At 35.5% G+C, this 17,206-nt stretch overlaps 1 pseudogene; it reads left to right on the forward strand.

Annotated features, from left to right (window-relative positions):
- Window positions 6,213-7,422, forward strand: SLC25A5P7 (solute carrier family 25 member 5 pseudogene 7; annotated as a pseudogene).

Consider the following 17,206-nt stretch of genomic DNA (forward strand, 5'->3'; position numbering starts at 1 on the left):
CATGTACTCTCATTAGGCTGGGCACAGTGGCTCACACCTGTAACCCCAGCACTTTGGGAGGCCTAGGTGGGAGGATTGCTTGGGTCCCGGAGATTGAGGCTGCTGTGAGCCATAATTGCACCACTGCACTCTAGGCTGGTCAATGGAGTGAGACTCTGTCTCAAATAATTTTTTTTAAAGTACCTTCATTAGAACAAGGGCAATGTCTATTTTGTCACAATTGTGTTTCTAACACCTTGCATAGGTGCCTTTCAAGCACATGAAGGACTAATTGAATACTGAATGAATTAATTAGGAATCAGTTTAAAACCACAAACTCAGTCAACAAAGGATGACAATGGTGTGGAAGAAGGGGTAAAGGGTGGAAACTAACATATGTAAGACTTTATCACATGCCAAGCCTTATGTTAGGTACTTTCCTTTATCTTGTTTCATTCTTAACCTAAACCTGTGAAACAGATGTTATTATCCCTGTTTTACAGATAAGGGAATTGAGGTTCAGAGAGGTTAAGGAACTTTCATGAGGTCACATAGTAAATGACAGAGTTGGAATCTGAAGCATTTTGGCTCCAACACTGACAGCATTTGCTGAGTGATCACATGTGTATAAGACTCTGGGAAGAGGGGTAATGAATCATACACACACACACCCACACACAAAAGTAGGAAACATGAAGGAGGAACATTCTTGGATTAGAAAAGGAAAAAATATGGGTTCAGTTTTGGCAGATTGAGTTTTTGATGGAACCATTTGCATGGAAATCTGGAATTGGAGTGAAGGTTCTGAGATGAAGATAAAGACCCAGGAATGGAGTTGCTATGATGTGTATAATTGACTTTCAAACACTTCCACACATATAGTGTGATATTTTATGTAGAATTAGATTAAGCTATAAGCTAGATGCTGCCCATCTCTAATTAAGCATGCACAGTTCAAGAGGAATAGTTGACTCTCACTCAAATACCCTGTACTCCAGAGACACTCCTATTAGTATAAGCAATTTTGTTTTCTGGATCTCCATCAAAACCAATTCTTTGATTATTCTTATAGTAACTCCAGAGGCCCTTCTATTAGTATAAGCAATTTTGTTTTCTGGATCTCCATTGAAACCAATTCTTTGATTATTCATTTTTGTTTGTTTGTTTTTTTGAGATGGAATCTCGCTCTGTCACCCAGGCTGGAGTGCAGTGGCGCAATCTCGGCTCACTGCAAGCTCTGCCTCCTGGGTTCACGCCATTCTCCTGGCTCAGCCTCCCTAGTAGCTGGGACTACAGGGGTCCGCCACCACGCCTGGCTAATTTTTTGTATATTTTTTGGTAGAGACGGGGTTTCACCGTGTGTTAGGCAGGATGGTCTCAGTCTCCTGACCTCATGATCCACCCGCCTTGGCCTCCCAAAGTGCTGGGATTACAGGTGTGAGCCACCACGCCCGGCTCTTTGATTATTCTTATAGTAATTGTTAGAAACAGGTATTTATTGGTGTAATGAGTGACTTTTAATTATTGCTATGAAATGTGCTTCCAGTGAAAGTTAAGCTACAAACAATGTGTTAGAAACACTCCCTTTCTATCCCTATGAATGCATGAACAGAGGATAAGAAAGAAGCAAGGCCAAAAGCCTATACTCTCAGGGATGATGCCACAGGTGAGTGTACACTATGAAACTGGGAGACTCTGATTGTCAGATGCTGATGATAGAGGTGACAGAACCACTACCTCTGGAATCTTGGTATTTCCTCAGGCCTGCAGAACAGGTTGCACAAATTGTTTCTTTTGTGATTATATTCTAATAAATATTTAGATAATAAATGTTTGATGCATGTAGCAGAATTTGGTCTGGGACTTGCTTTCATAATCACCAGGTAATGATAGTGGAGTGTAGCTAACTCCCACTTTCCTCAAAACTTCTGCACCTACAGTAATCTACTAAAAAGAACCTAGGAGTTGTATTTAGGTCCACTTGCAACAAGAGTTGTCCACATACGGTTGATAAATGAAATAACTCAGGAAGAGTATGAAGAATGAGAAGACCACAGGACAGATACCGGAAAACAGTCAGTATTTAGAAATCTGGGAGAAAGGAGAGTCCATAAAAAAGACTGAAAAGTAATCAAAAGAAGAGGAGGAGGGGGAGAGCCGAAAGTAAGTTGTTGCCAAACTAAAGGGCTTAAAAACTTCAAGGTATGGGTAATGAGCAGTTTCAAATTCTTCAGAAAAGTCTAGTAACACCCAGACTGAAATTTTTTTAAATCCAGATTTTTAACTATTAGTACTTGGCTGATGACCTCAGTGAGAGCTGAACCAAGGTAAAGGGCAGATGTAAGCACTGAAGCCAGGTTTCAGGACATTACATAGTGAACAGGCAGTAAGGAGATGAAAACAATGAGTGGGACTTGAGTACGTAATGGAAGAGAAAGAAGTAAGGCAAAATAGGGCATAAATACAGAAGTGGCTGCTACTTGCATTTTCTTTTAAGATCAGAGAATCTTGAATATAAGTTGAAGATGCATTTGAAAGAAAATCTAATACGTGGAGCAAGAATTGAAAGCAGAAAGTAGATGGGCCAAGAAGACAGGTGGGGGAATCAACCGAGAATATGAATAGAGATTTAAGTAAGATTGAGCTGGAGTAGAGTTTTGAGTTCATCCTGACAGTTTTCAGTTTCACTGCAAGGAGGCAGAGCAGAGGGAGGCTTACTGTGCTAAAATGTAGAGACAGGAAAGAAGCAGCACAAAATAGTAATAAGGATTTGGGATAATGGAGATGAGAAAGCATTTCTTTGAAAAGCTGGATTCCTTGATGCCCTCATTGATTCATCACACTGATTCTGCCCTTTAAAAGAATGCAGAGACCACAATTTATTTATTTATTATTATTAATTTTGAAAGACAGAGTTTCATTCTGTTTCCCAGGCTGGAGTGTAGCAGTGCAATCTTAGTTCACTGCGGCCTCAAATTCCCAGACTTAACCAGTCCTCCCCCCTTAGCCTCCCAAGTAGCTGGGACTACAGGCATATGCCACCATACCTGGCTAATTTTTTATTATTTATCATTAATAAGGATTTCATAGAGACAACTGATAGAGAACACATTTACTGCCTAAACTGTCTTGCTTTGGATTTCCTGAGCATCCAGCTCCCAACCAAAGGCAATTATTAATGTGCTGTTTAGTTTGTATCTTTCCAAAAGTGATAAAAATCTAAATCTTTATAAGATCAATGGTTATAGCAGTATAAACACTACTAAATCATAAACATTTATACCTTATCATAATAATATATCATTTATTTAATAAATAAATATATATATATCTATTTATCTAATATATATAATACATATAAATTTATTCCTATAAATTTCTTTTTTTTTAGAGATGGGGTTTTGCTAAGTTGCCCAGATTGGTCTCAAACTCCTGGCCGCAAGTGATCCTCCTGCCTCAGCCTCCTGAATAGCTGGGACTACAGGCACACAACACCATGCCTGGCTAGTTTTTTTTTTTTGGTAGAGTTAGGGTCTCCCTGTGTTGCCCAGGCTGGTCTTGAACTCCTGGCCTCAAGAAATCCTGCCACCTTGGCCTCCCAAAATGCTGGGATTGTAGGTGTGAGTCATTGCACCCAGCCTATTCCTGTAAAACTAGCATACAGAAAGAAATGTTGTATTTAAATTAGTGAAAAAGTTATTTCTATCTACAGCATAGAATTATAAATTCTCACTATCTTTGATCAGAAGGGAACTCAGAAATAAGCAGGCCAAATGTCATTTTATTTATTTTTTGTCATCATAAAATAAAGCACTTCTTGGAAAATACTAATACGTGTACTGTGCTTGAAATATTTGAAGGATATTCTAGAGTTGTATTAAAGTCTGTTGCCTACAACAGAATTTTATGTTTGGGACACATTTAGAATCTATGTATCATCTTTGGAAAAAGATCTGAATATATGTTTCTTATGTTTACTCCAGCAGAATACTGCCATAATACCTTCAGATCTTTCCTCTCTTGGAGAGGCACTGTGTCCTTAGCTGCTACTCAGCATCCTGTTTATAGCTGACATCCTTATGAACCTGGAGGTATTGTGCTTCCCACATCACAGCAGCAGACACGTGTGCATGCCCTAACATCCTGTATGAAAAGCATTTGAGTTTCTAACATCACAACACTATGTTCTGCAAATCTGTGGGAGAATTCTCTCAAAGGAGTTCAAACAAATAGCCATCACACCTTTTTGAAGTTCATAAAAACCTTTTTGATTTTCAAAGACTTTCCCAATAAAGAAACAATAGAGGCTAGAATTTTCACACAATCATTTGACTAGAGTTTGTTAGAGGTAGACTAACACAATAATTGTTTTGCCATAACTTAACATTTACACCAGTTAATTGTCTTTATTGGAGAGTTGAAAAGAATGCAAAAACAACAACAACAACAAAATGGAAGGGCAATGATCTAATTTTATTGTTTTTCATTTCCTTCAAGCGAAGTGTAGAAACCCCTATGTTCATTTAGGGGGAGGAAACAAAAAAGATGAACGTAAATATCCTGGAAATGTTTTTCAACACAAATTACAGAAATATCATCAAAAACTACTACACTATATCCACAAACTCTCACAGATTTCCTGCACTGACTCCAATACAAGGACAAGTTGTTTCTAACCCATACTTTTGACATACAAAAGAAGTAGTTAACACCTTCAGTAAATTATAACTTATTTTGGGCTCCTTAAACCAAGAAACTAAATGAGATTGTGACTCTGATAATATGCCTTTACTAAAGCATTGTTTGCAACTTCTTCCCTCTAAGTATCGGGTCCTAGAAAGAAACATGAAGCCACAGACCTGCAATGAGAGGAAATAAGTCATCGTTACTCTAAAATTAAAGTACCTATTCCTGCTTTACAGTTTATCAGATGTTTGGTCCGGATGCTGATTGTTTTAAAACTTTGTCTAAACAAAGTATATTTCCTAAAGGATATTAGCAAACCAATTGCTTGCCTCTAGTGACAACGTACTAAATTTTATTAACATAGGAAAGATAAATGAGTAAACAGACACAGTGCTAGTCAGTATGCGTTTTTCCCAAGAAAGCTAAAGTCAGGAAAGAATATAACTTATACTCTTTACTGTAACTTATTAATTATCAGTCATAACCAAGATCTACCTAGTGCTAAGTTCTTGGAAGTGAGAAACACTACCTTCCTGATAGGAAGCATAAAATTACCTTTTTTTTTCCTAGTTCCTGATAAGATTATGTATCAGTGGCCAAAATCTTATGAACTTGATCAAATGAATTTCAGAATGTTCACTAATGTTCACTCATTCTCTCAGTACCCTGTACCCTATCACTTCTTACACATACTTGTGGTTTGATTTTCTTAGCGAAGAACAACTTTTAGCGATGGAAACTTGTCTAAGCCACGATGTTTATTTTCTCAAGTTTTTTTTTTGTTGTTGTAAATTGAAAAGGAATCCACTTTTCTGGATTGAAGTTTTTGCCTTTGGGGATTACAACAGCTTTGCTCTATTTTTTTCCTTTTAATTTTTAAGTTCCCCATACTTTCAGCCTCTTCCTGAATAAAGAATAATTATCTGACTGAAATTTATTTTCAGCACACGACCAAAACAGAAATCTTTTGAAGAAGCTCAAAATAACACAGGAAATACTGATGGCTAATAGCTCAGACTCCTACAGCTATTTAGATTTGCAGAAGAAAATTAAATCAATCAGTGTGTGTAGTAAGGGCTTTTAAGATATTTTTAATGAAATAGAAATTAGCCGATCCATTAGGTAAACACGGCAATCTGGAATGTATTTAGGTAAATTGGAGATGGAGATTAGTTCATAGGTCAGGAAAACACCATTAGTATTTTGGAGTTGTCTTGAGGAAATGTGTCTTTCAAAGCACTGATTGTGCAATGGCAGCTGAGTCACTTAGGAAATTATGAGCCTGAATCCTGTGAGATGCCATCAGGTCCAATAAATATTATGCTTTTCTTCTCCCATCTCTTTCAACGCATCTGCATAATCTTGGTTTGAAGGTCATCCAGCTGTACTATGAGTAACCTTTGCTAATCTTTCCTATGAATAATTTTAGTTTTCCTCTTTTTAGTTAATAATCCATGCAGAATTTTGGTTTTTTGTTCACTCTGGTTTACTGTATCGTCTGATGAGGCAATGGTCACACAACTTACAATTTAAGAGTTTCAAATGGACCCGCAGCCCCGGAGTCAAAGCTGGTTCCCGGCCCAGTCCCTTCTGGCAGCAACCTGCCTCCTCTTTCCTTTCAAGGACTTCCTGGCAGGTAGAGTGGCCACGGCCATCTCCAAGACGGAGGTTGCTCCCATCAAGCGGATCGAGCTGCTGCTGCAGGTACAGTGTGCCAGCAAGCAGATCACCGCAGATAAGCAATACAAGGGCATTATAGACCATATAGGTCCGTATTCTCAAGGAGCAGGGAGTCCTGTCCTTCTGGCGCAGTAACCTGGCCAATGTCATCAGATACTTCCCCACCCAGGCTCTTAACTTTGCTTTCAAAGATAAATAAAAGCAGATCTTCCTGGGTGGTGTGGACAAGAGGACCCAGTTTTGGCGCTACTTTGAAGGGAATCTGGCATCAGGCAGTGTTTCTGGGGCCACATCCTTGTGTTATGTGTACCCTCTTGATTTTGCCCATCTAGCAGCCGATGTGGGTAAAGCTGGAGCTGAAAGGGAATTCCGAGGCCTCAGTGACTGCCTGGTTAAGATCTACAAATGTGATGGGATTAAGGGCCTGTACCAAGGCTTTCACGTGTCTGTGCAGGGTATTATCATCTACCGAGCTGCCTACTTCAGTATCTATGACACTGCAAAGGGAATGCTTCCAGATCCCAAGAACACTTACATCATCATCAACCGGATGATCGCAAAGACTATCACTGCCATTGCTGGGTTGACTTCCTATCCATTTGACACCATTGGCTGCCACATGATGATGCAGTCAGGGTGCAAAGGAACTGACATCATGTACACAGGCATGCTTGACTACTGATGGAAGAGTGCTAGAGAAAGATTGCTTGTGTTGAAGGAGGCAAAGCGTTTTCCAAGGGTGCATGGTCCAATGTTCTCAGAGGCGTGGGTGGTGCTTTTGTGCTTGTCTTGCATGATGAAATCAAGATGTACACATAAGTTATTTCCTAGGATTTTACCCCCTGTGAACAGGCATGTTGTATTATGTAACATATCTTGAGCATTCTTGACAGATTCCTGGCTGTCAATTTATCAGTGGCAACTATTTACTGGTTGAAAATGGGAAGCAATAATATTCATCTGACCAGTTTTCTCTTAAAGCCATTTCCATGACGATGAAGATGGGACTCAATTATATTTTTTATTTCAGTCACTCCTGATAAATAACAAATTCAGAAAAGGAAAAATACCTAAAATTAAAAAAAAAGTTTCAAAAAAAGAAAAAGAGAGAGAGAGAGAGTGTGTGTGGGTGTGTTTTCATTCATTCAATTATCCTGGCTGCTAAAATAAGCTAGGAGTAGCTATAAGTCATTGTAGTCAGGAAAATATCTTTTTCTTACAAGGGTATGAAATGGTTTACAGTATGATTTTTGAAGCATTAATAGTTGATAAGATTTATATAAATGGTATCATACACAGAAGGCAAATGTTTTTAAATATTTTTTAAGTGGGACTAATGTTGTAGTATGAGAAAAAGAGCCCGAACTGTTAGGCAAAAAAGAGAAAAATGTCTGCAGAATTGTTAACATACAGTTCTCAGGCTACTTGGAAAACGCCTCTCACTTTGAAACGTAGTTTATGACTAAATAGTCTTTTTTCCTTTTTTATTTTTTTAACTTAACTAGAATTTAGGTTGAGTTCTAGTACTGAATAAAACAACTCAGATCGGTTTTTAATATTTCTTGTTTTATTTGATACTTTAACCATAATACTGGCCTTTGATATTAGGCTTTAAGCCCTTCATCTAGACTCCGTCATAATGCTAACAGGCAAAAGGTTGATTCTTACACATGCCATCCAGTCAACTGCTAAGCAATTACTAAATACCTGTTGTGCATACTGCATTAACGCCTTGAAAATTGTGTGTAAAGGAAGTAAAAGACACTGTCCTATCTTTGAGGAATTGCTAAACTCTTTGGCATGAAATAATGAGTGGCTTTTATTGCCTCTTCTTCCTCCAACCAGCTCTTAAATACTGCTTATATTTACTTCATTTTTGCCAGCATCTTCTGTGAGCATTTGTATCATTTCCCACCAAGACCAGTGCCGTGGGCTCCAATTACCACATGTAAGCTAGCGTGTCCAAAATTTCTGTTTCTGGTCCCAAAACCTTGCTCAAACATCAGAGTTACACTTTCTTTTGTTTTCTGGATAAATCCGTACACATCTACCAAAACTTCTTCAGAAATTGCAAGTTAATTTATATTCTCTATTATCTCCTCCACTTGGTATCTTCTGCTTTTTTTTTTTTTTTTTTAGAGGGAGTCTTGCTCTGTCATCCAGGCTGGAGTGCAGTGGCACGATCTTGGCTCACTGCAACCTCCACCTCCCAGGTTCAAGCAATTCTCCTGTCTCAGCCTCCTGAGTAGCTGCAACTACAGGTGAGTGCCACCACGCCCAGCTAATTTTTGTATTTTTAGTAGAGACAGGGTTTCACCATATTGGTCAGGCTGGTCTCAAACTCCTGACCTCAAGTTATCTGCTCGCCTCGGCCTTCCAAAGTGCTGGGATTACAGGCGTTGAGTCACTGCGCCCAGCCATCTTCTGCTTTTTAAAAGTCTGTTAGTGGCTCACAAAATCAGGGAATTTGGAATTCTCCTTCTCACTCACATCATCATTAAGATCTGCCCAGTCTCCCTCCAAATATCTCTTTATTAAAGTTCCAGAGCAGTTAAGTTTATGTTAACTGCTAGGGTAGCCTTACTTAACTGGTCTCTCTTCTAGTAGCTTCCCTCTTCCATTCACCAATCTGTATTATTTTTCTAAAATTCATATGTGATTACTCCTGTAACTCTCATGGTAAAAAGGAAAAAAAAAAGAAACCTTTAATGGTTCCCATATGCCTACAGAAAATATCCCAAAATCTTTATCATATTATAAAGTATCTTTTCTGCCTAGCAACGATCTGTACTTCCAACCACTTTTCCTAGTCTCTCTTTTCCCAAAGGCTTTCCCTGCTTCCACACTACAGAGTCTCAATTTTTGGAGCACCTTAGAATTATGTGCAGTTTTATAAAAATGCAGATTCCAAGACTCTAGAACCAGAATCTCTTTAGCAGAGCATGTGAACCACTCATTTTTACTATTAACCTGCCCTAGAATTCCCTCACAGAGCTCATCCCCCACCCTACTTGTTGTTCCAGCAAATTTCCACTTATGCTTTAAGGTCTTGCTTGTTTTTTTTCTACATAACTCACACAGTAGAAATCACTCTAAGTCATTCTGCTTATGGAACTCTAAATGTTATTCAAATATATAGATTTATAAATTATTTTTGTTAAAACCACACTTCTCATTCCCCCTCCTCTTTTATGTTTCCCCATAATATTTAGTGTCATCTGACGTGTTATATATTTTACTTATTTATTTTCTTATGTTTGTCTCCTGCCACGAGAATGTACACTTCAGTAGATAGAGATTTTCAACTCCTTATTCAATGACAAATGTCAAACATACAAAAAAGTTTAAAGTTTTGTACAATGAACCATCTTATGAACCCTCATCATGCAGAGTCAATAATTGCTAACATGTTGTCACTATTTGCTTCATCTATCTATCCAGAAATAGATATAGCTGCAAACTCTCCCATTTTATAAAATAAGTACAGATAATACCTTCTAATTATGTGCAATTTTTTCACAAATACAACCACTTATTCACAAAGGAGAACTCAAAAAAGATTTAAGAGTTTGGGTTTTTGTTTCTTTGCTTTTTAAATAGAGACAGTCCAGGCTGGTCTCGAACTCTTGACCTCAAGCAATTCCCCTGCCTTGGCCTCCCCAAAGTGCTGGTATTACAGACAAGCCACCAGACCGGGACAAAAGGGTTAATTTGAATGTGTTTCTTCTGTTGAAGAAGACTATAAACTCTAGGAAACAAACATTTCTTTCCTGAATCATTTGATAGTAAATTGTATACTTCTTGAGAGTTCTTTCCTAAATACTTCATCATGTATTTCTTAGGAATAACATTTTCTATATAACCACAACAATTTTGACACCTAGAAAATCAAAATAACCCCTTCCTCCATTATCAAATTTTCCTAATTTTCAATCATTAAGATTTCTGTATGTTTTTTCTCTGCTATATTCCCAACAGCCTGAACAGTCATTGGCTCATAGTAAGTCTTAAATAAATAATTTTTAAATTGGTAGATCTGTATCTCTGATTAAACTGAGTTTCCTGAAGGCAGAAACTATGACCTTTTTGTCCCAAGTCCCTAGCATAGTGCCTGGTATATGGTAGGAGCTTCATTAAATGTTTGTATAATTTAACTGACAGGAAGGACACATTGTATTAATTATAGTTATAAGAGTTGAGGTGACATAGAATTAAGGCATAATCAGAGAGGAAATAATTCAGGAAAAGAAAAGGAAGCTGATGTTTCTGAGAAGAATTTACATCCAAGTCTTAAAGGAAATGGTGTCATCCAGCATGGCACAGAGGAAATCTCTTTTCCACAGATACAGATAATCTTTTCTGACTTCTTACAAATAAGAGAAGATCTTTGTCACAAAGGAGAACCTGTGAGACAGAAAGAAGGCTCAGTTTCTGTCACTACTGTTGAAGACAGCTACTCAAGACCATGAAATAAGTAACATTGTCATGGACAAAAGATGGCAACATTTTCAGAATATATTGTATCAAACCATATAGCATAACCTAAAATTAAAATATGCTATTGATTTTGATTGTCTTTCTTTAATCGATTTCTTTATAATATCCAATTACATGAGTTTTTTGTTTGTTTTTTTTATGTTTTGTGGATCCTACGCTGAACTAGGAGGCAGAAAAAAATCTAGGATGTAACTCTGGTCCTGCCTACGGAAAGATGGGTAGCTTTCTGTCATCACTGCTCTGGGTCTTGGTTTCTTCTTTTTTAAAATAAAGAAGCTGAATTGGAATCAATAGTTTATAAACTGTATTACTAATAAAACCCTTTTTATGCTGCAATTTTTTATGGGTCATGTTGTCAAAATTCAAAATGAAAAAAAAGACAAGTGAAAAGTATTGCTCCTACTCCTGAACCTCAACAATCTAGTCCCACATGTTGAATACACTAAAGCTCCCAATTTTTTTGTGTAGTTTCTGAGGGACATTGTAAGTATAAATAGAAAATGTATTTATAAAATATATATGCATATTTTGTTTTTTAATGAAAATGAGGGGTAGGTTATTCATACCATTCTATGCTCTGCTTTTTACATTTCACGACATATCTTGGAAATTCTGTCAGTATGTAGATTACCCATCTTCTTTTGAAGTTGCATAATATTCCATCCACAACTATTTATTTTGCCAGTTCCCTATGAGTAGACACATTGTTTCAATCTTTTGTAATTATAAATGATACTTCAATGAATAATGTGTATATAAATCATTTACAGAACTATATTTGTAGAATAGAGCCCCAGAATTGGAACTGCTGGATTAAATAATATGTGCATTTATAATTTTTATTCTTGACAAATAGAGGTTTTTTCAATTTATATTCTCAGTAGAAATGTAAAAAAAAATACAAAACCTCATGTTTCCCCATACTTGTGCCTATAAAGTATGCAATGAAACATTTTTACATGTACATTTTAAGTAAAACATAAAATATCAGTTCTATTTTAATTTTCATTTCACTAATGAGTCCCTATATACATATGCATATATAAATATATATTTCTATGTAATTTTTCTTTTTTATTTGAATCATACTAAATTTATAGACTATGCTTCAGTGACAAGTAACATATTTGATGTTGCGTTTTATTATCTAAGTATGCAATATATTTTTTATTAATTTATTTTTTGCATGTTTCGATAAAACATTTTTATTTGTATATTTTGTTAAGTAAAACATAAAATATCAGTTCTATTTTAATTTTCATTTCACTAATAATGAGCTGAGTCCCTGTATACATATATATATATATACATTTCTATTTAAAATTCTTCTTTTTTATTTCAACCATACTAGATTTATAGACTATGCCTCAGTGACAAGTAACATATTCGATGTTGAGTTTTATTATCTAAGTGTGCCATATATTTTTCTATTAATTAATGTATTTTTTGAGTCTCCCAATAGTGATTTAAAGTTTTCTTCATATTAATCTTACACATATCATGTACAGTATATTCCTAGGTATTTACTCTGTTTTGATGGCATTGAAATAGGGTCTCCTCTAAAATATATTTCTAATTGTTGTCTAAACAACACATACACACACGCAGAGTACTATTTTTCAGTTTTCTGTAAACCATGTGTTCCTATCCTTTAAAGATTTTTCTGTCAGAATGTTGTTGATTTTAAATTATTTTAAATACTCTTTATATGTTGAAAATATTAACCATTTTTTTTAGTGCCCAATATTTTTCTTCAGTTGGTTATTTTCTTTAGACTTTTTATATAATGGGGTCTGTCTAACTTCATTAAATTACTCTAACTTTTATTATTTTACTCTTTAATATCTTTTTGGTATTATATTAGAAAGATCTTCCCCATTTCAAGAATATTTTAAAAACTCCTTCATGATTTCTTCTGTAGTAAATTTCCACAGTACTTCATGTGAAAATATTATCTTCAACATAATATGATTGACAATGGGTTACCACCTTCACACAGCCTCATTTTCAAACAGAGATTCACTGAATTTCTTATTCCAAGTTAATGTCAGTTGAAGCACGAAGAAGATAATAAAGCTAGGGAAGAGAATAGCAGGCAGCTCTGTCTGTGGAAATATTCTCTGCTTCCAGTCTCCCCAGAGGGAGCTGACAAAATGGTTCAAATATGTTCCAGCATCTTGGAATTGCTGCTGCCAAACATAAACCAGGAATCCTCCCCATCGATATTTAGGTGGACATGAACAACTGCCATGAGGGAGCGACAAACTGTAACCAGCTCTGGGTATGGATAGTAAAGCTGAAATCCCAGAACTAAAATGTAGCCAACTAGTTACCCAAGCTCGCTGCTGTTTGGGTCATTTCATTAACCACACAGTAATGCACATTTTAAACAACTTAAACAATTGAATTTAAACAATCGAATTTTGATATCCCATTTATTTTATGGTGGGGATATTGTGGTATGTTGTGTTTTTTTTTTCAACTTTTCAAACTATAAAACGTCAGGAATACATTGGTATATAAAGTATGAAGTCTGCAGGAACTTGACCTTTTTCAGATGGATACCAAATGTTCCTAATATTATTTATACCTAGGAATAATGTTCCCCATTGATACAAAATGCCACTACTATCATCTGCTATACAAAGTATGTAATAAATATACACAATTTTTTTCTGGACTTCCTACTTTTTCCATTGACATGTCTAGTCACATGACTGTCACATTGTTTTAGTCCTTGTAACTTTGTAAGCATTCTAATATCTTGTGGATTATTAACAACCCCCACTACCAATTCTATTTTTCCCCTGTTACATTTTATTTTTTTGTATTTTTCAGAAAACTTGAGAAACATCTTGTCCAGTTTCAATTCCTATTTCTTATGTGAATCATACTGAATTTATGAATTATACCTTAGTGAAAAGTGATATGATTGATGTTTCATTTTATTATCTAAGTACATAATATGTTTTGTTAATATTTGTGGAGGTTCTTCAATAGAGATTTAAAGTTTTCTTCATATCCATCTTATACATAGCACATAAACTTTATTTTTAGAGATTTAATCTTTTCTAATGGTGCTAAATAGTCTTTTCTAAAATGTTTCTAATTGTTTTCTGAATGACAACCTGATTTTGTTCCAGAAAACTTACTGATTTTCTTTATTGCTTTTAAAGCTGTTTGTTTTTGTGTTTTAGCAATTCTCCTGAACATTCCAGAAAGACAATCAAATTATCTACAAATATTGGTAGCTTTATTTTCTCCTTTCTAATATTTATAACTCTAATTTCTTCCTTTTGTCTAATAGGCTAGGACATCCAGTTTGATATTAAATAATGACAGTTATAGTGGATATTCCTGACTTTAATGCAACTTGGTCTAGTGCTTCACCATTAAGCATAATCCTGGTATTGGTGCTGAAGCAGATATATTTTATTATGTCATAAAAGTATCCATCTATTTCTATCTTAAATTTTTTTATCAAAAATGAAATTTGAGTGTTATACAATATTTTGTATTATCTTTGAGGATACTAAAAATGCTTCCTCTTTTAGAATTAGTTTTAGTAAATTATATCTTCCCCCAAAATTATCACTTTAATCTAGATTTTCAAATTTATTTACATGGAATTGAGAATTGAACAAAGTAATCTCCTAAGATTGCTTGCATGTCCTTTTTGTCTGTGATTATTTTCTAGAACTTTCTTATTTAGAATATGTGTGCTTTTTTTCCCTCTTGATTGAATTATATACAAGTGTATCTACTTAATTTTTTTCCCCAAAGAACTAACAAACCAATCAGTTGTACCAAATCTTCTGATTCCTAATTACCAATCCACCGCTCACCCTCCACTTTTTTACATTAATGTCTTTCCTATGCTTTCTATTGGTTTATTTGCTGCTTTCCTAGGCCCATAATGTCCTCCTTTCCTTGTCCCTGATAATATTCTACTCACATTTCTGTAGCTCAGTTCAGAAAATAGCTTCTCTGACCCCTTCATCAGAGGCAGTCATGCCTCTTCTTTGTTTACATAGCATCTGTGCACATTTAATCTGCAGCATCTTTTATATTTTATCTTAATTTTCTCTATAACTACTTGAGGCCAAGAGCTGTATCTTAACTTCTCTAACATACTGCTTGTAATATAGTAGGTCTCAAGAAATGTTCAATAATGAATCAAAAATATAATAATCTCAATGGGTATGTATAATGCTTACCTTTCTTATTCGTTATTTTGATCTACAGCTAGAATCTTTACTTATGTAACTGAAAATTCAATGAAATGAATTAGAGCCAATGGACAGTGAAGATCATTGTTCTCAGAGAAGTTCTTCATGTTATGGATCCGTGACTCCTTAATACATTTTCCTACTTTTGAAGAAATTGAACTGAATTTATTCTATTTATATAACAGGAAAGATGCCAAACTGTGGATCTGCTTATTCAAAGTGACTGAATTTTGTCAGGCTATTTATCAACAAATAAAGTATTTGTAATTATGAACTCTCTTTGGACCAATTTTCTTTAAATATATTTTTATATTTAAGGCCATTATTTGCTGCAAGTGAATCAGACTCCACCACTGATCTGATTTAATATATTTCATAAAAACTTCTCTGTCCCTAGTCTACCTTTTTAAATTCAGCTCATTGAAGGCCCCAAATGTAGTTTGAGATAAATTCCTTTGACTAAAAATTACTTTTGTCTCTCAAAATGGAAAGCTTTTGGAAAATAACACACACTATCAAATAATTAAAAAATAAATAGATAATCTACTTTATACAAATTCTTTAATTATTAAATTTATTCAACTCTTTCCATAGAGTCTCTGGTTAGCTGGGTCTTAAGAAAGGAAAATTAAACAGCTTATTGAGCAAAAGAGATTGGAAAAGGAAAAGCTGAGGGCATGAAAGTTTTCTTACCCTACATATTTGCTCATCACTATCATTTTTAGCCCTATAGAGCAAGCATTGCATTAATGTAAAGTCCAGGACATCCAGGACATGTTGCTTAATACTCAAAAACCAGTATGTCATCTATTTACTCAAATTGACAAATATTTATTAAATGGCTACTGTGTGTCAGGCACTGTTTTAAGTGCTTGAGATACATCTATGAACCAAACATATTTTTATTCATGTCCTGTTGGAGCTCATATTTTACTGGGAAAAGTCAAATAATAAATAGTAATGATAAACAAATTATAGGCTGGGTGTGGTGGCCTACAATCCCAAGAGTGTGAGGCTGCAGCCTAGGTGGCAGAGCAAGATCCTATCTCATAAATAAATAAATAAGACAGAGAAAGGGAGAAACAGAGAGAGAGAGAGAGAGAGACTGAGCTTGGTGGCTCATGCCTGTAATCCCAACACTTTGGGAGGCCAAGGCCAGGAGTTCAAGGCTGCAGTGAGCTATGATTGCACACTGCACTCTATCTTGGGCAACAGAGTGAGATCCTGTCTCTCTAAGAAAAAAAAATATATATTTTATATATCTATATATTTATATATATAATATATAAATATCTATATTATATATAGATAAATATGTATATATTTTTATATACATATTAAAAATATATTATATGTATAAACTATATACATATTTTTTTTTGGAGGGTGGTGAGTGCTATGGAAAAATAGAGCCATTTAAGGGGAGGATCACACAATTTAAGGGGAGGATCAAGGGTGCCAGAGGTGGGGCAGGTTGCAATTTTAAATGAGATTGTCATAGTAAGCCTCACTGAGTAGGTACATTTGAGCAAAAATGTTTAAGTGTTAAGGAAGGTGACCATGTGACTATCCAAAGAATATAGTATTTTTAGTGGAACAATCCACCAGTGCAAAGGCATAAGATGGGGACATACTTGGCAGGTTCAAGAAGCACAGGGAGGCCAGTGTGGTCAGAAATGAGTAAGGGAGGTAGAGAATAGAAAAAGGAGATGACATCAGAGGAATACTTAGGGTGAGGAGCAGAGAAGATGGACTTGTAGGCATTGGCGTTTACCCTGAGTGGGATATGAAGTCATTGGAAAGCTTTAAGCAGAAGACTGATGTAATCTGACTTATGCTTGCTCTGACTCTCCATAAAGAATAAACTGTGGTAAGGCAAGGGTAGATCAGTTAACAAATCATTGCAATAATCTAGATGAAAAGGATAGCTTTTGAACTGGAATGGGACTACAGGAAGTAGTAAGTTACTAGGTATATTTTGAAGGTAGAGACAAGGGGATTAGGTGTAGGGCAGACGTGTTAGGTGTGGGATATAAGAGAAAGAGAAGATAAAAGGTTGACTCCAGACATTTGGCCCAGAATCATTATTAAATGACAGGATGAAGACCGAAAGTAGAAAACTTTAGGGGGAGAAA

Source organism: Homo sapiens, chromosome 6 (genome assembly GCF_000001405.40).
Source record: "Homo sapiens chromosome 6, GRCh38.p14 Primary Assembly".
In the NCBI taxonomy this organism is placed as follows: domain Eukaryota; kingdom Metazoa; phylum Chordata; class Mammalia; order Primates; family Hominidae; genus Homo; species Homo sapiens.